The sequence below is a fragment of the Homo sapiens genome, chromosome 14 (genome assembly GCF_000001405.40).
Source record: "Homo sapiens chromosome 14, GRCh38.p14 Primary Assembly".
Classification (NCBI taxonomy): domain Eukaryota; kingdom Metazoa; phylum Chordata; class Mammalia; order Primates; family Hominidae; genus Homo; species Homo sapiens.
The window spans coordinates 58,330,958-58,356,155 of NC_000014.9; the positions used below are offsets into that span (position 1 = coordinate 58,330,958).

At 36.6% G+C, this 25,198-nt stretch overlaps 1 protein-coding gene across 11 annotated transcripts in view, besides 1 other annotated feature; it reads left to right on the top strand.

The window, feature by feature from the left end:
* Positions 1-25,198, top strand: part of ARID4A (AT-rich interaction domain 4A) — a 75,322-nt gene that overhangs the window by 32,403 nt on the left and 17,721 nt on the right. For 7 of the 11 annotated variants that reach the window (XM_005267964.3, XM_005267965.3, NM_002892.4 and 4 more), the window contains 6 exons: positions 13,738-13,810; positions 15,454-15,548; positions 16,063-16,160; positions 16,690-16,921; positions 20,116-20,366; positions 22,701-22,898. In XM_005267964.3, coding sequence (XP_005268021.1) covers positions 13,738-13,810; positions 15,454-15,548; positions 16,063-16,160; positions 16,690-16,921; positions 20,116-20,366; positions 22,701-22,898 — 947 coding nt within the window. Of the gene's footprint in view, positions 1-326; positions 562-13,737; positions 13,811-15,453; positions 15,549-16,062; positions 16,161-16,689; positions 16,922-20,115; positions 20,367-20,495; positions 20,720-22,700; positions 22,899-25,198 lie in introns of those variants that run through there. The other 4 variants (XR_001750495.2, XM_047431654.1, XM_047431656.1 and 1 more) reach the window with 4 other exon arrangements.
* Positions 434-483: an enhancer, noted in NCBI's record as "active region_8452". NCBI's record gives its function as "activates an Ori minimal core promoter by ATAC-STARR-seq in GM12878 lymphoblastoid cells {active_cell/tissue: GM12878}" and the evidence as "EXISTENCE:reporter gene assay evidence [ECO:0000049][PMID:35858748]".

A 25,198-nucleotide genomic window follows, 5' to 3' on the forward strand; every position in this document is an offset into this window, starting at 1 on the left:
CAAGACAAAGACAATGAATTTACTGAAAAGGGGGACCTATTTGAGCATGAAAAATATTGGCCTGGAAAAATGTGGGATTCTTGTTTCTGTTTTAAATACACAAATATGAATTTATGAAATGAAACGAGTATAGTCATATGTAATGAAGGGCATACGCTATTTCTTTCCTTTTACTTCCCCTGCAGTATTTGGTTTTTTTACACTCTGAAATCAGAATGGCGGTTCATACTTACAGGCTGCCTACAGAGTTGCCATAGTAACGTGCTGTTGGTTTTAAGTGAGCATGCTCGGAAAGACAGGAAGGTTTAGCAGAGGCTTGGCAGTTTGCCAATGGAGGTTTGCCAGATGCTTTGAAATGGGCTGTCTTTCTTTTCCTTTCATGTAATGTCTGATTTTTATGTGGAAGAGAATGTAAGTAGTGCTGTATAACCCTGCGGATGCTATGCCCTAAGAGGGAAAGCAAATATTTGCAAGTCAGACTGAAAAATGTCCAGACCCTGTACTGATTAAGTAGAAGGGGAATCTAACCACTTTGCATTTGAAAGAAAATGCAGCATATAGGTAAGATTTTTTTGTGTGTTTAGTTACCATTTTGATTGCCAAAAACGGGATTAAATAAGAATTTTAGGTATTGATGATGTAGCTGATAGGGAAGGACTCAGAACCAAGCGATATTCTTTCTTGTAAAAAAGACAGTAGGAGTCTATTTTTAGAATATCAATGGATGAAGGCTATTTTTCTGAAACAAGATAGATTCTGAAATGAAAATGATAATGAGACAGTTTGGCAAAATTCAGGATTTAAAGTCAGAATATTAAATGTGATTTTTGTATTTTATCTGTATTTATTTATAGATTATATGTTTTCAGGCTAATTAGGCCACATTTTCAGGGTGTGAACTGTTGCAAATCTGTGATTTAGCTTTTGTTTTTTAAATTAACCTTAGGATCTTATATTGTCCAATATTGAAGAAAGATTAGTCCCTTTATTTTTGCTAATACTTTTAATTGCTGTCCGTTCCAGAATGCATTTTCCCTACCCCCCCCCCCCCAAAAAACCCTGAAATTTTAAACAAAGAGGGTAAAAAGAGCTTTGTAGGAAGTGGCAGAGGGAGATTATAAAATAGTAAATTGTAAGTAGTGCTCTTATTACAATGATTAATTTCATAAATATTGTAATGTTTTATTCAAGCTGTGAGTATACGTTAGTATAAAAGAATGAAGAGCAGAGGCAAAGCTCTGTTACCTATTGTTTGCAGGTAATAGTAAATAAATTTTTAAAGATAAGGAAGCTTACAAGGATAGTATCTTAAAATGTGTCACCTAAATTATGAGCCTGTTAAAATTAAGTGAATCAGGATGCTTTTCATCTACTGGAAAATAACAGCAAAATTACAGAATTTAGGCACTGATTCATATGATTATTTATTTTTCGGATGGTCAATTTCATAGCATATGTTTTATTGAATTATTAAACTAATTCTTTTTCTCTGGCCATACAGGAAGATTTTCTTGAGTGAAATTTTGTTGCTTTAGAAAAAAATCAGCTGCATTTCTTGCTCTTGGGTTTAAGATTTAGTTGCTGAATCATTGTAACTTCTCTTGAACAGTTATTTTTTAAAAGTGTAATATACTGATAAACTGAAAAGCACTTTATATACAACAAAGAGGAGGGGAATGACTATGATGTAAAATGAATAAAAATCTGATAAGCCATGGCCTACCTGGCTTAGTCATTATGGGCCTTTATCACCATGTAGGTGAGGCTACGCTGTTTTATTACATTACAGATCAGAGTCTTCCCAAAATGTAACGATGCTATGCTTTTCGTGAAGATTCAATGTTGCATTACAATAATCAAAAAGATCTTTTGTAAGGTTCTCTAAACCACTATAACAATACTCTAGTCTGTTATTTGTTGTTTTTAGTATAGCAAGCAAATTTTATGCAGTAGAATCATACAAGTGTTAGATACTTCTGCAGTGTTAATGGGCAGTGAACATTGTTTTTATATTTGATGCTTTGGGTATCTTAACTAGCCTTAATAAGGAGATTTGAGATTCTGTGACTTTACATGAAAGAGCACCTTTTCCACTTAATATTAATTTGAATTCCTAAGTATTGGTAGTTCAGGATTTGAGTACAAGATATAGATCTCATGCTGTTACTGTGTGGGAAAAGATTGAGGATCTGACAGAAAGTAGGTTTTATCTATATTGATTACTTTAAACTTGAACTCAATAATTATATTGAAAAAATCCCTGGGGGATATTTTTATGGGTATTACTTAAATGTTTTTGTTAAGAAAATTTTGTATTAGAAAAGATATTACTGGATTTTTCACCTTTGAAATTGATCAAAAAGTCCATGTAAACATAAGTAATCATATCAATTATTCATTTATTCCTGATTTATATTTACTTTGGATAAATATAGGAGAGTTTTCTAAGGGTAAAATAAATGGATGGTTGTTTAGAAAACTTGAGTATTAAGGGGAATGTGACCAGTGTTAGCTTTTAAAATCATTTTGGCTTATAATAAGTAGGCTTATAGGTTGGGCCCTTTTAAAAATTTCCTATTTAGTAATGAAAATTTGAATTCAGTGAATTTTTAAATAACTACTGCCATTTCTGTAATACTGGGAATTGTTTAGGGACCACTGATACATTAATGCCTAAGATTATATTCCAGTATTGTAAAAAATCATAAGTACTTGAGTTTGTTTACTCATGGAAACATGAATATTATTTTTGATGTTTAAATCATATTATTTGTGCATATTTATGCCTTGTAGATTGTAAAGGCATTTGTTGGTGGTCATTCAAGATTACTTTAGGTATAAACTTACAGTAAATGCTGGATAACTTAGGAAATCCATGCTAAATTGGTGGAATTTAAAGAATATTTTAAATGTAATGTTAATATTTTAAGTATATCTAATAACTTAAGTTGCCAATGAAGCATTTCTAAGCAGATCCTAAAAAGCCAACCTTCCATGAATAATTGGGACTTTAGCTTGCAATCATATATGACAACTGACTTGCTAAAATCTTAAAGTTTAGCCCATTAAGCAAACAAAAATGCCCTTATGTATTTAGCAGAGTCTTTCTTCACAGTGTTAGTGTAAGAGTCTAACCCAGTTAGGGTCATCTAATCAGATTAATGAGGATTCCACATTTGTACACAAAAATATAGCTACATACAGCTATATTTTTATGTATTAAGAAAACACTTTTATATCAATGCATTTTATAGTTGTGGTCATATGATATAGTTGACTTGTACTAAAAATCTTGGATTTGATAGCATTTAAATGACATCTTGATGATTAAAATGTGTACCTTTTCAAATGGGGAAAAATTACTAGGCTCAGTTAACTGATAAAATACAAGAATCATGTAATCATTTATTTTAGGCAGGCTGTTGTTAAAACTGTTCTCTGAAATTATAAGTGCCTTACTATGAATATATCATCTCTTATGTGAGCCCTGAAATTTTCTGTAGGTGTAAAACAGGAAAGAATAGTACCACTCTAAATTTTATGATTACCAAATTCCACTGGGCCTTCAGCACTATTGGTCAGTTCCCAATTTCTGTAAGCAAATCATTATTTCCTCCATTAAACCAATAATCCTATACCCACTCCACACAACTTCATAAAGAAATTGGGAGCTTCAGATGCGAGCATGCTGTAAACCTGTTTGCCTGCTCTCTTTCGCTCAAGGCACAATTGATAGTGTTTTGTCCTCCCTATAAGATGAGTCTCTCAGGTTATGCTGTGGATCTCATTCCCTTCCTCTTTTCAGGAAAAGAGAGACTATCGACTCTCTCTTTTCTTGCATCTTTAACTTACTCCTTTCAGTTATATCCTTCTCATCAGCTTTTTAAAACATGCTTACATCTCTCCCAGCCTTCTGACAACCCCTCCATATTTCCTCCACCAGTCTTCAGACAACCTCTGTGCTTTCCTCTCCAGATAACTACATTCCTTCTTCATCGTCATGGCCAGAATGCTTAGAGTTACATACACTGTTCATGACCTCCCCTTTACTCTTAACTCACTGTAGTGTGTCTTGATTTCCCACAACTAAAACAACTTTACTAAGGTCACCAGTGACTCCAACAAACTTTTGTACTAAACCAAACACATTTTTGTCTTGATCCTATTTGACTGTTGAGTAGTATTCAGTACCTCTGACATACCTAACTTCTTAGAATGCTTGATATCCATGACGACATCACATTTTTGGCCTACTTCCTATCTAAAATGATATAATGACTTGATATCTATATGTACATCAAAGATGTCTCTTCTTAGCTCAAGACATTTATATCAAACCAATGAGGATTTTATCTTTTTTTTTTTTTTTTTAAGAGACAGAGTTTTGCTCTTGTTTGCCAGGCTGGAGTGCAATGGCGTGATCTCGGCTCACCACAACCTCCGCCTCCTGGGTTCAAGCAATTCTCCTGCCTCAGCCTCCCAAGTAACTGAGATTACAGGCATGCACCTCCATGCCTGGCTAATTTTGTATTTTTAGTAGAGACGGGGTTTCTCCATGTTGGTCAGGCTGGTCTCAAACTCCCAACCTCAGGTGATCCGCGCATCTCAGCCTCCCAAAGTGCTGGGATTACAGGCATGAGCCACCGTGCCCGGCCAAGGATTTCATCTTAACTTGTACGTACTCAGACTCAGTATGTGCAAGACTGCGTTCATCTTCTTTTTCCCTAAACCTATCCTTTCCCTGGCTGTCCTTAATTCATTTTGATAAAAGCAACATCCACCCAGCTGTCCAAGCCAGATACATAGAAGTCACCTTGATTCTTCTTCTCTTAACCCCCTGTCCAATCAGATACCCAGTCCATTCTCTTCTACCTGCTCGAATAGCTCTCAAATTTGCCCACTTCGTTTGGTTTCTTTTCTTCTTTCTGCCAATCTTACTCCAAGCCACTGTTCTCTTTACCTAGCCTAATGCAATAACAATAACAACTTAATTGTTCTTTCAACATCCATGCTTGCCCTCCTCCAATCTGTTCTCTGTACTGGATCTACAGTAGTTGTTTGTTTTTTTTTTTCTAACTGAAAATATATATGTGATTCCTTTAGGAATAAAATAATTTTAGGGAACAAAAGAGGTTGTGGTTTTTATTCTTTTGGATTAAAATATTTCTAAAGCATATCGCGTAATACTACCTTTTTCTAAAAGCAGTATAATGTACATTATTTAATGTAATATTTACTCAAGATTTAATTATTGCATTCTTATAATACACATACTGTCTTGGCTCTTAGTCCTTACACTAAATGACATATGTCTGTAAAGATTGTGAATTTTTCTCCAAGTTTTCTTTCTTCTAAGCTATATATTGTCAATTGTCAGTTTTTACATATGATAACTTTCTGGACAGTTCTTCAGAATTCCACTTGGGATGGGGCTTATTGATAACCTATGTAGTCATTTTGACCTATGGCTCACCTGAGTTGCCAGACTTACTATTTGTTTTGTTTGCTTTTCACTTTAAGTTAAACGTGAAGTTTAACTGAAGTTTAAAATTTTAAGCTTTCTTTTTAAATTTGTCTTTATTTGCTGTTTCCCTAAGGTGTTGTGACAAAATATATCTGTTGTACGAGAACATACATCAAGATGTACCTTTCATTATACCACTATTAAAACGTTTACCTTTTGTAGGAGATACAAACAAGTAAAGATAACCACGCCAAATAATGTTCTTAGTTTATTCATGGAGACTTGGTGGTTTTTAAAGTAAGACTGTTTGTTTAGTCCTTACAACAGTCTATGAAAATATGTATATAAATAAATATATACATATGAAATCGCCTCAGAGTGCATTGCCTGAGAAAAGAGAGATTATGAAGGGAGGTTAGATACCTTATCCCATAGTTTCTCCCAAAGTGGACTTTCTTTTTCTTTTTTCTTTTCTTTTTTTTTTGTTTTTGAGACAGTCTCACTCCGTCACTCAGACTGGAGTGCTGTGGCGCGATTTCCACTCACTGCAACCTCCGCCTCCCGAGTTCAAGTGATTTTCATGCTTCAGCCTTCCCAGTAGCTGGAATTACAGGCATGTGCCACCATGCCCAGCTAATTTTTGTGCTTTTAGTAGGGACGAGGTTTCACCATGTTGGCCAGGCTGGTCTCGAACTCCTGGCCTCAAGTGATCTGCCCACCTTTGCCTCCCAAAGTGCTGGGATTATAGGCATGAGCCACTGCGCCCAGCCCCAAAGTGAACTTTCTAGAACCTTACAACAAATCTCCTAGAACCTTCTCTTTATTTATATATATATATATATATATAATTAAAACCGAGGTTTAGAGAGGTTTCAGAATTTTTTACAAGCTTTTAAGAAAATGTTCTCTCCTCCTCTAGACTGTAAGATCTGTGAAAGCAGGGGATCTCAGGATTTTTGTTTTTTCCTTTTCCTACCAGTATATATACCTAACAGCTATCAACACAGAGCTTGCTTGGCTCATATTAAACCTTCATTAAATGAATGAATGTGGATTATGCAATTGTTGTAGTAAATTACTCTTTGAAACAAGGTGGTGGGAGATTTGTTATAAGGTTCTAGAAAGTTCACCTTGGCAGGGGGAACTAAGGGATAAGATATCTAACTTCCCTTTATAATATCTCTTTTCTCAGGCTGTGTACTCTGTAGGCAATCTCAATTTCTTACATAATTTTGTGAGTTTATAAAATAAATTATTTTTTGCTTAAGCCATCTTGGGATAGTTTTCTGTCACTTGTAGTAAAAGTTATTGAGTAACAATGCTCCTTGCTTGTATTTTGTTCCACTTACTCCAGGTATCTTCCTTGTGGTGTTTTCCCTTCGAATTCATTATCCATAAACATCTTTATAAAACATAGGCGGTTCCTGATGGTAACCCTTTATTGGCTTTCAGCACCTTCAGGACGAAGTCTGGGTTTTTTATCACAGGCCTTTAGAAGTCTGCCTGATCATGATGTGACCCATGCCCACCTCTTTATTCTCCCTTCCATTATTCTTCCATGATATGGGACTTCTTATAGCTCCCCTGCTGCCACTTAGATATTGTTCAGAAGGTGCTGTTGAGCTGTAAGATACATTACATTGAATATTGCCTTTGTGTTGCCCATTCCCTTTGTTAGTATTAAATATAATAGGAAAGATAAAACGCAAGTTTTAAAAACTCAGAAAATGAGTAAATGATAAACAACAGCTGAGATTTTAAAAATTCAACAGATGTCTGTAGGAACAAAGAGGGCTCTACTTGAATTAAAGTGGGTGAGTACAGCTTACAAATGTTCTATGCATTTACCTTAGTTTTAGTATTTCACATTTTTAAAAAATCACACTATTTAATATATTATAAATTTAAAATTTTATACAAAAAATGTAAGCAGCTATTGGATTCGCTGCTTCCTTCCCGTGAGTCCTCCAGTCCAGACATGTCCTCAGAGCTGCCACTTCTGATGTACTCCTTGCAGTGCTTAGCTCCCCACAGTGGAGCTTGGAGGGTGCTGTCTTAACATCTCTCCTTCCATGATAGGGATCTGCCCATTTCAGGGGATTCTTCCTGCTGCCTTCAAACTGAGCCTCATTTTTGGAGGTGGTAGGGATGAAGGAGAGGGGATGGAGGGGTTGTAAGAGCTGAGGAGTGTGAGGACTTGTGATGGAGTTTCAGAGTTGGGGTGAGAAGGGTAGCCCATGAAGAGGGCCAGAAGAGGGACTATAGACAGCATCATAAAGAAATTTAAATTTCTTTATATTTGGTAAAAGTATTTAGTGTTATAAATCATTATGAATGAATGTACTAAAAGAAAGAATATAATAAAAGATCTTACTTTTATTTATCATGAAGGGGAAACAAAGTTGCTTGTGTCCAAAGTAACATTATTGCACAAAAAAAAGTCCTTTGGTATTGAAAAAAATGAGTGGTATACTGGAGTACACCGCCCCACCCCCCACCCCCAATACACACAAAAGGTAGGGGTGTTATATAATTATTAAAACTTTTTTTTTTTTTTTTTTTGGAGACACAGTCTTACTCTGCCTCTCAGGCTGGAGTGCAGTGGTGATTATAGCTCACTGCAGCCTCAACTTTCCAGGCTCAAGCCATCCTCCCACCTTAGCCTCCTGAGTAGCTGGGACTAGGATTATAGGCATGCACCACCATGCCCGGCTAATTTATTATTATTTTTTTTTTATAGAGACAAAGTTTCGCTATGTTGCCCAGTCTGGTCTAAAACCCCTGGGCTCAAGTGATCCTCCTGCCTGGCCCTCCCAAAGTGCTAGGATTACAGGCAGGAGCCACTGAGCCTGACCAAAAATTTTAAGGGATTCCCATAGAGGTTCTTGAAACCTGAGAATACCCATCAACAATATGTTCTGTTACATACAATACACAGTATAGGGAAACCACAAAGATCAAGTTTAGTTATACCTTTCCTCACTTTAAAAATGTCAATTTTTGTGGCTCCGATATGTTATACGCTAGGAAACTATCCCAAGCCACCAATTAGAACTGTGTACAAGTTACATGGGTCTGAGGAGCTTTGGGTAAAGTTCATCATCTTTTACTGACATATTTTGACAATTTGGACACTATCTGTCCACCTTCCTAATGTGTATTGGAAACTAGAGTTGCTAGCTAAGAAAGTTAATAGCTCCTACAAAAATAAGATATCTTATTTTTCAAATTGTATTTGTCTCTGTATTACTCTGTTCTCACGTTGTCATAAAGAACTTTGTTAGATTGGGTATTTTATAAAGAGGTTTAATTGACTCACAGTTCCACAGGCTGTACAGGAGGCATGGCTGGGGAGGCCTCAGGAAACTTATAATCAGGACAAAAGGTGAAGGGGAAGCAAGCATATCTTCACGTGGCAACAGGAGAGAGAGAGAGAGAGAGAGAGAGAGAGAGCATGAGCACGCAAAGGGGGAAGTGCTATACACTTTCAAGCAACCAGATCTCATGAGACCTCACTACCATGAGAACAGCAAGGGTGAAATCTGCCCCATGATCCAATCACCTCCCACCAGGTCCCTCCCCGAGTATTGGGGATTACAATTCAACATGAGATTTGGATGGGGACACAGAGCCAAACCATATCAGTTTCCCATCCCACTAAAATGGTAGGAAGTCTGTTTACTAGAATTTTTGCCATTTCCAAATGAATAATCGTTCATTTTCAGATTTATATATTTGGACAAGGGATAAGGTGAATGCCAGCAAGTCATGGGCCATAACCACCTGTGTCTTTTTTTTTCTACTTCTTCTTCTTCTTTTTTGGGACAGAGTCTCACTCGTTTTGCCCAGGCTGGAGTGCAGTGGCGCAGTCTCAGCTGGGATTACAGGTGCACGCCAGCATGCCCAGCTAATTTTGTTTTTGGTTTTTTGGTTTTTTGGTTTTTTTGAGACAGAGTCTTGCTCTGTTGCCCAGGCTGGAGTGCAGTGGCACAATCTTGGCTCACTACAACCTCCGCCTCCTGGGTTCAGGTGATTCTCCTGTCTCAGCCTCCTGAGTAGCTGGGATTACAGGCGCACAACGCCACGCCCAGCTAATTTTTTGCATTTTAGTAGAGATGGGGTTTTACCGTGTTGCCCAGGCTGGTCTTGAACTTCTGAGCTCAGGCAATCCGCCCATCTCGGCCTCCCAAAGTGCTGGGATTACAGGCATGAGCCACTGTGCCCGGCCTAATTTTGTATTTTTAGTAGAGACGGGACTTCACCATGTTGGCCAGGCTGGTCTCGAACTCCTGACCTCAGGTAATCCACCTGTCTTGGCCCCCCAAAGTGCTGGGATTACAGGCGTGAGCCACCGTGCCCGGCCCCACCTGTGTCTTAAGAACATCCTCAACTATTCTTATTTCCTCTCTTTCTCTGACTCTTGCATTTATATTATCATAAATCTTAGCTCTCATACTCAATGAATGTGAAGCAAGAAAACTCTACACAATTCATTTGCACAGATATCATTTTCATTCACATGAGTAATGTCTAAACTAAATGGCAGTCATTAGTCGTAAAATTGTGAGTAAGTCAGGCACAGTGGTTCTCTTTTCTTCCCTCTCCCCTTCTCTCTCCCTCTCCCCATCCCTCCATCAGTCTCTCTGTCTTTCTCTCTGTCTCTCTCTCTTCCTCTTCCTTTCATGGGAAGAGGTGATCTTTCCATCCCAGCTGGCAGGACTAATTCAGGCATGCGTTCTCTTCCTTGTGGACTGTTATAATGGCTTCCTTTTCCCTTCCAATCCATCAAACTCATTCTTGGCTGAGAAATTTTAAATATACAAATCTGATCTAATTCTCTTTAGCTGTCTCAAGCTTCACATCTAGCCACAGTATCAAGTTTTGTTTCTTTAGCATACTATTACAAAGTCCTTTCCTAATCCCAGCCTGCCTTTGTCAGTTTCATGCTTACGCTGTTTGCCCATTTGCTGTAGCTCCAGGGCTGTCTACTATTTACATTTTGAAGCTGCCTAATACTACCACTGCCAGTTCATCTCGAGGAAAACCATTCATTCCCTCACTTGCTCCTCCTGTATTCTTTGATGTATTTTACAACACTTACCACATCGTGTTATATTGGCTTCTTTTACCTTTCTACACCTCCTGCCAAACTCAGAGCAGCAAAAATAGAAGGTACCATGTGTTCTCATTTTAATCCACAGTGCTTTTGAACAATCTCTGATTCATGGTAACCATTAGTAGATGTTTGAGCTTAATCTGAAGACATGTGCCTAAAGTCAAAAAATTCACAATCTAGTAGTGTAGATAGATATCCAACTACTTATAATACTAAGCAGTATATACTAATACTAACTAAAATTGGAAATTTCTTGAAATTATCATCATGAATGTGACTCTTGGATCTCTGGCATTTTACTGGGTGCATAGTTATTCTTTACATGTATAAATGTAAATGACTAAATGAAGGGAAGAAGTCTCAGATGGTCTAGTGGACCTCTACCTCCCATTCTTATAACCCTCTCGCACTCCAAAACCCTTGAAAGATGCAACAGTGCCAGGCCTTCACCAGCAGAGAAATTGCTATGAAAATGCCATGGACAGAGAAAGCAAACCGTGATAGCAATTAAGAGCCCCATACAAAAGTCACGAAGGCACATTCTTCTAATTGGAGGCGTTCTCTAGCATATGCAGTTTTACTGCAAGGTGACTAGCAGCAAGGCTAGTTTTCAAAAATAATTTTGAGGAGTGGCTTATTGTAAGAGATAAGCAATTTTAATTTTCACAGAAACATCAGATAAGTTTAAAACTTTGTTTATAGCATCATGTTTTATTTATTTTTGGTGGAAAAGAAATTTCCCCTCAAGGCATTTGTTTGTAAGTAGAATTCTTTATTCATTTATATCTTGTTTAACTGTACCAAAACTACAATTTTACAGCCATAGTTTCTCGTGAAACCTAAAGCACTCTTGGTTACCCACTAACTTTTAAAAAAAATACACATAAATCAAATTTTATCTATAAAAATATATTCTTAACATTAAAAATTTATCAAATGTTGGGTACAACCTAATTTGCAATTGATGAGTTGATTTTGTTTACTTGTATTGGGGAGCAACTTTGATTTTAGTGCCTTTTTAAAGAATTGCTTTTACATATATTGAATATAGAAGTGTTACCTGAATTCTGTAGGATCATAAATACTGGAATGAGGCCTGGTATAGTGGCTCACACCTGTAATCCCAACACTTTGGGAGGCCAAGGTGGGTGGATCACCTGAGGTCAGGAGTTCGAGACCAGCCTAGCCAATGTGGCGAAACCCAGTCTCTACTAAAAATACAAAAATTAGCCAGGTGTGGTGGTGCATGCCTGTAATCCCAGCTACTCAGGAGCCTGAGGAAGGAGAATCGCTTGAACTCGGGAGGCAGAGGGTTGCACTGAGCTGAGATTGTGCCATTGCACTCCATCCTGGGTGACAGGAAGACTCTGTCTTTAAAAAAAAAAAAATACTGGAATGAAGTTTTCGTCTGAAGAGAGAATATTACGATTACAGGGCACAGGCAAAGCATAGAGCCAGTCTGGCATAAGTGGTTTTTGGTTTTGATTTTTTTTCCTCACGCTAGAAGTTCTTAAAATTAATGTGTGAAGTGGTTCTTGGGCTACTGAATTACCTATTTTCTTGAGTTAACTCATTGGCAGTTAACTTTATAAAAGCAAGATTTTTAAATTCACATGGGGAAAAAACTGCCATCTCTTAATCTGAGCATTAAGTAATGACCTTCACTAACTACTTTATAGTGATTATTAACTTTGTAAATTGCTGATTTTGGTTAGAACTTATATTTAAATTTCTTTATATTTGGTAAAAGTATTTTAGTGTTATAAATCATTATGAATGAATGTACTAAAATAATGTAATAAAAGATCTTACTCCCTTTCTCTTGATTGCCTCATGGTTTTTTATTATATATTTTGATCAACTACATGCTTATTGATCCTGGCTGTATTATCAGCTATTAGATAACACAATTTTAAAGTGCCTGTTGCCCTCTGGACACCGAAGACTCAACATTTATTGCTTGAGCATTGCCTTTGTTTTGAATATGGCTTTGTAAAGACAAAAATCCAGGCTGGGTGCTGTGGCTTATGCCTGTAATCCCAGCACTTTGGGAGGCTGGAGTGGGCGGATCACTTGAGGTCAGGAGTTTGAGACTAGCCTGGCCAAATGGTGAGACCCCCTTCTCTATTAAAAATACAAAAAATTAGCCAGGTGTAGTGGCACACTCCTGTAGTCCCAGCTACTCAGGAGGCTGAGTCAGCAGAATTGCTTGAACCCAGGAGGCAGAGGCTGCAGTGAGCCGAGGTCGTGCCATTACACTCCAGCCTAGGCAGCAAGAGCAAAACTCCATCTCAAAAAAAAAAAAGACAAAAATCTGAGCTCTTCTTTTAGAACAGAGGAGAGTAATACTCTAAGTTATGATCATTTATATGGAGGAAACATATCAGTGTTTTGTTTTTCTCTAGTAGTGCTAAACTTTAAGAATTTTAAAAGAAGCTAAATCAGTAATTATGTATCTAGTTTCCTTCCCTAAGAATTACTTCTGGAATTATTTTGTTATCTTATTTTTAGGTGTTGCAAAGTCAAGTACAGGGGCCATACTAGAAAGGCAAAAGAGAAAACCAGGTTATTGTGAGATGAGGGGGTGATGAGGTCTGGGGTAAAATAGAATGTATATGACTCACTTAAATGTATTTAAATATCTTTAAAACATTGTGCCATCTAAACAGAAATCCTTTGCCACTGTGACTTTGCAATCCCTGGTTTATATTCATCTGGCAATAACAAAAACTATGTTTATATGAAAATTATTTTTATATATAAATATATGATATAATGAACATGTGTCATTATTGTGCTCATCTGCCAGTATATTTGTGTGGGCCACATAGTATTTAAATGGGCTTTAAAAAAAATATATCAGGTGAGGTGAAAACGTAACACTCCCATTTTATTCCTGAATGTTTTCCTCTTGGCTAATCTTAGTCCTTACAGTGATACTGAAAAGTAGAGTTAGAGTGGTAAATGGAGTGAAGGGTAGACATTGTATATCTTCATAAATATGACTTAAAATCTGTCATTGTAGGATATTGAGAAAATTCAGATTTTTCAGCTTTATTAAAATTTGATGACTTTACATTGGGTTCACAAAAATAAAAGAAGACATGTATCTTTTCCAGTTCACTGTGCCATACATTTATATATTTTATCTTTACAGCCTGAGGAAGAACTTGATCCTGAAGAGAGGGACAACTTCCTCCAGCAGCTTTATAAGTTTATGGAAGACAGAGGTATTTTCATGCTCATTATTTTAAAGTAGTCATTTCTTTTTCATGTTTACATTCTAGGTATATGCATTGTTTTTGTTAGTATTGCAGATAAACAGTTTTGGATTTTATTTATTTATTTATTTTGAGGCAGGTTCTTGCTTTGATGCCCAGGCTGGAGTGCAGTGATTTGCTCCTGGCTTACTGCAGCCTTGACCTCCTGGGCTCAAGTGATCCTCCTGCCTCAGCCTCTCGAGTAGCTGGGACTACAGGCACGTGCCACCATACCCAGCTAATTTTTTATTTTTCTATTTTTTGTAGAGACGGGTTTTGCCATATTGCCGAGGCTGGTCTCAAACTCCTGGCCTCAAGTGATCCTCTTACCTCTGCCTCCCAAAGTGCTGAGATTACAGCTGTGAACCATCATGACTGTCTAGTTTTGGATTTTAAATAAATCCTAGAATCAGTTACACCTGACAGTAGTAAAATATTTGGAATTAAACTGTTCATACCTATTTTACATAGAAACAAGTGAGAAAATATTTTGATACAATTTAGTTTTCCCTGTCACTTACAAAGCTAAAGAATATTCTGATATTTCAGAAATAGAAAGTGACCAGTTATGTTAATCTGCATACCCACTAATTACTAATGCTATATTTGTGGCAAATAAACTAGATAAACTAGCCTGATCCTTGTTCTCAGCAAATTAAACATAATAGGAGACCAATCGTTATCTGAAAAAGATGAGATTTCTAATATAGGTAGAATAATAGAACAATTATAAACCATCATACTCCTTGCCATTTGTTAGTCCTAGAAAATCTTAAGATAAATTGGTCCTAAACATTCTGTGTGGCCTTCAGAAATCATCCTTCAGATTACTGCTAACAGTCTTAACATTTGTGTCAAAGTAGTGAAAGTGGAACCAGGGTATAAATCTTATCTTTTCTGTTGTGTTTGTTTATGCCTAAACTTTTTTTTTTTTTTTTTTTTTTTTTTTTTGTGACAGAGTCTTACTCTGTCACTCAAGCTGGAGTGCGGTGGCGTGAACATGGCTCCCTCCAGCCTCCACTTCCTGGGCTTAAGCAGTCCTCCCACCTCAGGCTCCCAAGTACCTGGGACCACAGGTGCACACCACCACACTCAGCTAATGTTTTCCTTTTAATTTTTGTAGAGACAGGATATCACCATGTTGCCCAGGCTGGTCTCAAACTCCTGAGCCCAAGTGATCTTCCTGCCTTAGCCTCCCAAAGTGCTGGGGTTACAGGTGTGAGCCACTGCACCCAGCCCTATGCCCAAGCGTCTTGAACCAGCAACATTGTTGGCCACACCATGCAGTGTTTACTTTAGTTTTACTCAATTCATTGGCAGTTAAAGAGGTAGCTTTATTAGTATAACACCTAAAATCTGAAGATCCCCACAAAGCTATATAAATAAGAGAGAATTATTATATATATTATTATATATAAAACATATAAAAAAGAATTATTATATATAAAACAACACAAGAGAATTATCTTGTGTTGTTTTACATTGTTTAAGGCTCTTTAAATATGTGCCTCTAATTAATGAAATTGGGGAAATTAGAAATTGACCGCTTTGTTTTCAAATTAGTATTTCTCATTTGAATAAACATTTTATTTCTACCTACTTACATTGAAAAGGTACTCCAATCAACAAACCACCTGTTTTGGGCTATAAAGATCTCAATCTCTTCAAACTCTTCAGACTGGTTTATCATCAGGGTGGATGTGACAATGTAAGTATAACATTGCTTTTTGAAACATGTATTGATGTGGTAAAAAGTTAAGTTATCTTATATTGCATTATTATATGCACATTGGATAATAAATACATTTTCTTAATGAACATAGAATATTAGGATAAAGATCTTTTCCTGGCCAGGCACGGTGGCTCACGCCTGTAATCCCAGCATTTTGGGAGATTGAGGCGGGTGGATTGCTTAAGCTCAGGAATTCAAGACTAGCCTGGGCAACATGGCGAAACCCCATCTCTACAGAAAATACAAAAATTAGCCAGGCATGGTGTCGCATGCCTGTGGTCCCAACTACTCGGGAAGCTGAGGTGGGAGGATCACTTGAGCCCAGGAGGTCGAGGCTGCAGTGAGCCCTGATTGCACCACTGCTCTCCAGCCTGGGCGACAGAGTGAGACCCTGTCTCAAAAAAAAAAAAAAAAAAAAAAAAAAAAAAAAAAAAAAAAAAAAAAGATTAATTCCCTTTGCAAATGTTAACATAAAAACTTAATTTTCCAGATTGATAGTGGTGCTGTATGGAAGCAAATTTATATGGACCTTGGCATTCCTATTTTGAATTCAGCTGCTTCCTACAATGTAAAAACTGCTTATAGAAAGTAAGTAGTATAGTTTATTCATCAAAGAATATATATTTATAGGAAATATTTTCCATTTACTTTGTTAACAAGAATACATCAATCTAGAAACATTAAAGTTAGAGAAAGTATATAAAAAGGTTTAGGTTGACAGATACTTGTGATTGAAAGTTATTTCAGCGCATCTAATCTGCTTTACTCCATTTCTTATGTTGTCCTGATTTCCTTTCCAAAATCAGGATGCAGGTAGTGTCTGCGATTATGATACATATTACAGAGCTACATCTTTTGGGGTGAACAGCCTTCATATCAAAACTTATGATAGTTATGTTTAGCTATCACAAGCTCAGACGTCTCAGGACGGCATTTTATGATCAGTTTTTCTGTTTATGATTCTATCTAAAACACCAAGAAAATAGTAACACAGAAAAGAGTAACAAAAATTTTTTTAAATTACTGGGCTTTACTTTTTAAAAATGTGTTTAATAACATGAATTCAAGTTAGATGCAAAGACTGTAAGATTTCTTAAATGAAATATTGTTTGTTTAGGTATCTCTATGGTTTTGAGGAGTACTGCCGTTCGGCAAATATTCAGTTCAGAACTGTTCATCACCATGAACCAAAAGTAAAAGAGGAAAAAAAAGACTTAGAAGAATCAATGGAAGAGGCTCTCAAATTAGATCAAGAAATGCCTTTAACAGAAGTGAAGAGTGAACCTGAGGAAAATATCGATTCAAACAGTGAAAGTGAAAGAGAAGAGATAGAATTAAAATCTCCGAGGGTGAGTTCTTAATACTAGTTTTATCTGGTTTAAGTATTATTTAAAATTTTTTATTATAGCCATTTTCATATATACACAAAAGTACTACAGTGAACCTAGTTTATTTTCCAGTATTTAATGCTGCTTAGCTAGCTACTTTTTTCGAAATATATTGTATATTATTTCCTCTACCTGAAAACCCTTCCTTCTGTTTTCTGTTTATATTCGATCAAGTCATTCTTGTCTGGGATGAATCCCAGATATTCCTTTTCCAGTCTTCTGCTAAAGTATCACCTCATTGAAGGCTGTCTTGGTCACCTTATCTGAAATTGTAACCTGCCTCCTCTCTTTGGAACTCTCAGTCCCTCTGATGTTGTTCTTTCTGTAATTTACTTATTTATTCTGTTTATTGTGATTATCTATTTTGCCCCACTCTACACTAGAATCACACTCCACGAGGTCAGGGATTAGTGTTTATTTCGTTTATTGACAGATGCCACGCATTTAGAATAGTGCCTGGCACATAATAAAGGCTTATTAAATAGATGTTGAATAAATGAATCACCTCTTTATAGTGCCTGTGCCCTAAACTAGATGATATCTTGTCTTTGTAACTTTATAGCACACTGTGTAGCTCTAGTGATGCGTACATGTATGCTGGTTGTATCTTCCAACTTTGCTCCTTCTTTCCTTTAATATATAAGGTCTATTTAGGAATTGTCATCTAGCATTTGGATCAGTGTCCAGTGATGTTACATAGTAGGATTTATCAAATTTTAGAAAGAGAAAGGAATTTACCACACTATCAAAGAAGTTTAATTACTATGTCTTATTTTTTGGTGGAATCATATTTAATGAAAGAGAATGTGAAATTGCTTTGTCTTATAGTTCAGAAACCAGTTTTCAAAACTTCCTTCATGTAGTAAATGGAATCTTCTAGTGAATGTCATGAAATTTCCAAATTGTTTTTTTTTAATTTTTTTTAAAATTGTGGTAAGTACATATAACATAAAATTTGCCACCTTAACTCTTTTTAAGTGTACACTTCATTGGCATTAAGTACATTCTCACCGTTGCATAAGTGTCACCACCGTCCAGTTCCAGAATATTTTTACCTTGCAAACCTGAAATTCTGTACCCATTAAACAGTAACTCCTCATTCCTCCCCAACCCTTAGCAATCAAAGTTTTACTTTCTGTACCTATGAATTTGATATTCTAGGTACTTTTATATAAGTGAAATCATACAGTGTTTGTCCTTTTTTACTGGCTTATTCACTCACCATAATGTCTGTAAGACATTATGTTGTAGCACATATCAGAATTTCCTTCCTTTTTAAAGGTGAATAATATTTTATTGTATGTATTGTGGACATACTTTCTTTTCATTACCTAAAAACCTTCCTCATCCTACATAAAATATCTGCAGTGTGCTGTCTAGTATGGATGAACCATAAATCTACCTTCTCCAAGATTTTCTCCCAGTTTTTTACTATTTTAAAAAGTGCTGCCGGGCGCGGTGGCTCATGCCTGTAATCCCAGCACTTTGGGAGGCCAAGGCAGGTGGATCTCGAGATCAGGAGATCGAGACCAGCCTCGCCAATATGGTGAAACCCCATCTCTACTAAAAATACAAAAAAAAAAAAAAGTGCTATAATACATTTGCTTGTAAAAATATCCTCATCACTTATCCACATATATAAGCCAGGCTTCTAAAAATGGCATTTCTCACCTGTAGTCCCAGCTACTCAGGACGCTGAGGCAGGAGAAGTGCTTGAACCCAGGAGGCAGAGGTTGCAGCAAGCTGAGATCGCACCACTGCACTCTAGCCTGGTCGATAGAGCGAGACTCCATCTCAAAAAAATGAATAAATAAATAAAAACAGTATTTCTGGGACAAAGGTATACAGACCCAAATTTTATAGCAGTTGTTTTCATTCATTTACCTATAGATATTTTAAAAGCACCTGCTAGGCCGGGCACGGTGGCTCACGCCTGTAATCTCAGCACTTTGGTAGGCCGAGGCGGGCGGATCACGAGGTCAAGAGATCAAGACCATCCTGGCCAACGTGGTGAAACCCTGTCTCTACTAAAAATACAAAAATTAGCTGGGCATGGTGGTGCGCGCCTGTAGTCCCAGCTACTCAGGAGGCTGAGAATCGCTTGAACCTGGGAGGTAGAGGTTGCAGTGAGCTGAGATCACACCACTGCTCTCCAGCCTGGCAACAGAGCGAGACTCTGTCTTAAAAAAAAAAAAAAAAAAAAAAAAAGCACCTGCCACCTGCTATGTGCCAGCCACTGTGTAGATCTGAGGAGATGGAAGTGCCATCTTGGAACTTGTGTGTTAGTGCTTTAAGATAGAAAGAAATTAATTTCTTCTTTTTCTGCCTTTGAAGTGTAAATAGCACATAGCCAGCAACTAGGGAAAACATTTGTTTACTGAGATATTAATTGTATCCTAATGCTTCCTAAGTTGCTGGCTCTTTATCTGCTTTATTCCAAGAAGAGGAGACTTCTGCCAGTGTATAGAAGTTGACTTGAAGGAGAACCTAGGAGATAGTGAAATTGCTCACCAGTCATGGTCATTTCAGCATTCAGTGGGCTAGATAGAAGCTAGTGGTGGTAAAACATATTGCTGTTGGCCCAGCGAGCTCTCCAGATACTCATTCAAAGAAGTCTGCTCACTTTTTTGCCATTGATGCAATTCAGTCCTTTAAAAATGTAATCATCCACAAATACAGTGACAATGTAAATTTTGTCTTACTAACGGTAGAATTAGAGACCACAGAGCCTTTAAAGAAGCAAAATTCAGGGGATTGGTTTTATTATTGTTACGTTTTATCATTAACATTAGATAATTTATTTTAAATTTTTATTATAGTCGAGAAATAATAAAAGTGAGATAAAATGATGTAGTAAACAAAGGAGAAAATTTTTATTTCTTTTTTGTTGTTGTTGTTTACTTTTTTCATTCAAACAGATTCTGACAGATATTTCTTAGGTAGTATATAGCCAAAGTAGACCTGGACATAATTAAGTAATTCTATCAGTTATTCTTTTACTTTCAAAAGGAAGAGAAAGGTACCTTTGAGTTGGTTTTCAGGGCCACGTTTCAAGCCAGAGACATTGCTATGAAGGTTAAAGGAAAAGATATTTTTTCCTGCTTTTTTCCCCTTTATAGTGATAGCTATTTTAAAGCTTTTATCCCCTCTACTAGGGACGAAGGAGAATTGCTCGAGATGTAAATTCTATTAAAAAGGAAATTGAAGAAGAGAAAACAGAAGACAAATTAAAAGATAATGATACAGAAAATAAGGATGTAGATGATGACTATGAAACTGCAGAGAAAAAAGAAAATGAGCTACTACTGGGGAGAAAAAATACACCAAAGCAAAAAGAGAAGAAAATTAAAAAACAGGAGGATTCTGACAAAGACTCAGATGAAGAGGAAGAGAAAAGCCAAGAGAGGTACATTATCTTATGTTTGTTCTCCAGAAGCACCTGTCTGGGGTACAACAGCGCTTTGTTCCTGCTTAGAGATTCAGGTTTGAGGGAATGTTTTCTTATTGGGACTTCCGTTCCTCTTGTCTAATGAAGGTGAGACACATTGTGAAGATGATGTGTATTGCCTTTCGGAATTGGAGAATATACTGGTCGCACCATTTTAATAGCACTTGTGCCCTAAACAGTGGCCTCAAAGAAGGCTGCGCCACCCAGTCAAAAGAAAGGTCCTGCAGTTGACAGCAGGGAAGGGAGCTGGAGAAAAATGGAGGAAGTGGACAAGAGGAAACAGCGACAGCAAAAATTCCATTTTAAAAAAGGTACAATGTGGGAAAGCTAACAAACACATGGGTGCACAGTACTAGAGATGTTTCTGTGTGTTAGCTTTAAGACATTTTTCTTTTTCAAGTTATTGTATTAGATTATGTGGCATGCACCCCTGATTCTAGTTTGGAAAATACATTCTTGCCCCACATCACACCAATAAATTTCAGATTTTTTAATGTCCATCCTGTTTGCTGTTGAGTAAAACTGTATTTTTTTTCTGTGTATTAGACAAGTATGGACTGAACTGACTTAAAAATAGTCAAATATTAGGCAGTCCAGCAAGATCAAGGTAGTCTCTGACCAAGTTATTAGCTGCTTCTGTAAGTGTTGTCAAATGGATTTACTAATTTTAGGACACGACTAAAAATGAATTTTAAATGAGCAACAACATAACATACTTACTTGTAATACCAGCTCTCTTCCATAGTTATTTTTCTATTATTATGTGATATTAAATTTTCTAGAAATTTGAGTTGTTAAGCCAAATTTGGGAAAACTGACCTGCCATTGAGAGAATAAATATTTGGAAAAATAGGATGATTGGTGAATGGGAGAGGTAATTTGATTAAATACAAATAGGCACAGGAGCTATCACAATTACATATGACCTAGGTTAGTGAGTAAAAAAAAGTTCTGTAATGAAATATAATTAGGATTAGGAAAAGTAGGAGGAACTAATTGGAGTTGAGTATAGTGAGTATAGAATTTTAAATATTTGGACAAAAAATTTAAGCAAAGGTGAAAAACATCAAAATATGTATATTGTAATATGTATATAAAACATATAATACATCTATGTAAAATGTGATTTAAAAAGACTGTAACTCTTTTGTAAATGGACAAAGATTTATTTTAGAGAAAATTTCACAGACTTGAATGTAAGAACAATATTATCTTTAAGTAGTTTTTCTCATAGAGTTTTGAATTTACCTTATCACTCTATTATTGGAAGGTGCCTTCCAAGAGAAAACATTCTCACTACAAATGGGCTGTCAAAGCTTCATGTCAGGACCCCCAGGGATCACCAAAATAATGCCCTATATTTATTACAGAGCCCAGTAGTACTTGTTGAGCTTTTAATGCTTGTGACACTAGAATGATCTTTGATGCAGTTCTCCTATAAGTCTTTACAGGATTGATACACAATATTTTATTATAAAAATATTAAAAGTATTTTTAGCTCTCCCTGTGTTAATCTTCCTTATACCTGATTATCAATACAAAGAAAAGCCGATGGAAGATGAGTAAACAAATAGAATTCAACACAAATGTAAAGCTTTGTTCTTGTGGTGGTATCCTACAGTGTCAACAAATGACCTAATACTCAAATTTCTTTTCTTTGTTAGGGCTGGGAAACCTTTAAAATATAAATTAGTTTAAAAGACATGGTTACTAAGGTAGATAGCCCTTGTTCATTATTTTGCCCACCAAAAAAACTAGTCTTGCCAAGAACTATTCTAATTCTGGTAGTAAAGCAGATTTAAGATAATTCAGTTACAGGAAGTTACAAAATATCCTTAAATCTTTTTTTACATACAAGGTGGCACTTAAATATGAATTCTGAAGAATTTTTTCAGAGCATATTTTTCTTATTTTGTTTTGTCAAAAGTGATTGATTACAGATCATCGTTAGCTGGCACTTAAATATGAATTCTAAAGAATTTTTTCAGAGCATATTTTTCTTATTTTGTTTTGTCAGAAGTGACTTATTTTATTACAGATCATCGTTAACTGTGACTTGATTGGCTTTTAAAAAGTATGGATTTACTTTGGGTACAGTGCACCTTTACATAATAAATTCCTTAGTAAGTAGGCCACAGAAATCTTCTCCTTCTCCTCCTTCTTCTCCTCCTCCACTGATATGTTATTAAGGTAATACTTAGGTTGTGAATAATCTACCTGTTGGATTCTTTTAGCATATTTTATTCTCCATTAAGTTATTAGTAGCATTATCAGTATTATAACTTACTGCAGGGAAGAAACTGAAAGCAAATGTGACTCTGAAGGAGAGGAAGATGAGGAAGACATGGAACCCTGCCTAACAGGAACCAAAGTGAAAGTAAAATATGGACGAGGGAAGACTCAGAAAATTTATGAAGCCAGTATTAAAAGCACTGAAATTGATGACGGAGAAGTTTTATATTTGGTACATTACTATGGATGGAATGTCAGGTAAGCAAGAAACTATTTTCTTACTATTGAAATTTTTTCGATGATTAAATAGAACATCAACTTAATGTTATGAAGAGTGAAAGCAAATAATGGTACATATTTACAAAGCACACCTTGGTTCTGAATTTTCCAAGACTTTGACATTCCTGCTGTTATACTAGCAGTGTCAATGCTTCTAGCCAGAGACTACCAGGATCACACCTGTAGTTAGAACAAGTTACATTTATTACTCATTTATAGTGAGGGAGAACACACAGCAAGGGGAACCATAGGGCATCTTAGTAATATGGTGTTAAATGAATCAACAGAGGCTCAAGGCACCATCTTTGGGAAAACAATAATTCATAATTCTGTGGAGACATATTACTGACTATGAGCAGGGAGCCAGGCCTGCAACTTCCAACCGTGCAAGTGTTTGTTTCATTAATCAGAAATCAAGCCTATGTCAAGCACTGTAATAATTCTAAGTCGACTAATTAATAAAAAAGAACGTTAGAACTTACATTTGATCTTCCGTTAGATGATTTTGGGGAGGGTTTAAGAAAGGCAGGGCATGGGGGCTCTTGCATGTAATCCCAGCACTTTGGGAGGTGGAGGCGGAAGGACTGCTTGAGGCCAGGAGTTCAAGACCAGACCTGGCAACATAGTTAGACCCCCATCTCTACAAAAAATTAAAAATTAGCCTGGCATGGTGGCACGCACCTGTAGTCCCAGTTACCCAGAAGGCTGAGGTGGGAGGATCACTGGAGCCCAGGAGTTGGAGGCTGAGATGAGCTATGATCATACCACTGTACTCCAGCCTGGATGATAGAGCGAAACCCTGTCTCATAAATAAAAAAAAAAAAAAAGAAAAAAGAGATTTTGCTCCATATTGGATCCTGTCAGGAAGTTGGGGTAATTATAGTTGGTTTTCGTAATAAATCTTATCTAGAAGGAGAGACAGTTAGACCAAGGTAACATTATAATTGGTAGAGAAACAGCAATCACCCACATTAGTCAAGAAAAAGAAGATGTTTGTCGTTTTTGTGGATTAGACAATGTTCCTGTTTTTTCTGTGTTCAGACACGATTAGGACATGGTCTTGTTTCTGTTTTGATACATCATGGTCACAGAATGGACTTGTCTGATGTTGATGCTCTTTGAAATTGTTCATGTTTCAACAGCAGGACAGTGTGGCCTAGCTATGAGTGCCAGACTAGCTCTAAGCAACACCAAGGCCCAGCTGATAGTGCCAGGCAAGTTCCTAAATGTCAGGGGCTGCCTTTCTTGTTCTCTTTTACAAAATCTGGCATATTTAATATCTCTGGTTGCCCTGTATTTATTTGGAGCCAGACTGCTCCTGGGTTTCTCTATACACTAGATGTGTGCTCTGTTATAACTCAAGTCCCTCATCTCTACACTGGGAAAAATACAGTTCCTATTTTGTAGAGGTGTTGTATAATGCAGTAGTTCCCTCTCATCTGCTGGAAATGTGTTCCAGGACCCCCAGTGGATGCCTGAAACCTCACATAGTACTGAATCTTATATATCCTATGATTTTTCCTATACATACATACCTACAATAAAGTTTAATGTATAAATTAAGCACAGTAAGAGATTAACAACAATAATAAAATAGAGCAATTATAACTGTATTGTAATAAAAGTTATATGAATGTGGTCTTTCTCTCAAAATATCTTAATATTTTTGGACCATGGGTAATTGAACTATGCTGTGGCTAAGCAGGGACTACTGTAGTGATAATATTTGTATTCAGATGTAAATGCTTAGAACCATGCCTGGCACTTAGTGCTCCATGAATGTTAACTGTTTTCTTTTCTTTACAATGTGTTATTGAATTCAGGGGAAAAGGAATATATCATACCAACTTTCAGTCATTACATTTCCAGTTGCATCACATGATAGCCTTCTTTCTTCCTCAGATTCTTTAGTTCACAACTATCCACTCCTATTTCACATCTGTATATGTCTGTGTTCTGCTTTCTAGAATTTCCCCTATCTTTCTTTCTCATTTTTTTAATGTTTTACTTTATGACTCTTCTCAGCAGTCATTTTATTATACGCTCAGGTTTTGGATTAGTCATCTCTCTAATTAATTACCTAACTAGTACTCTCCTGGTTCATGGTTTTTCGTTGTTCTTCTCTACTCCTAAAAGCTGGTATAATTCTGGCCTGTTCAGTTGAGATGAAGCCACCATGGTTCCTAACGAATTTAGCCAGACTCCTGAAAGGGAGTATCTGCAAGTGTAAGAAGTGTGAGAAGAGTCCTGGTCTCTCATTGAGAAATCCTGGGACTATC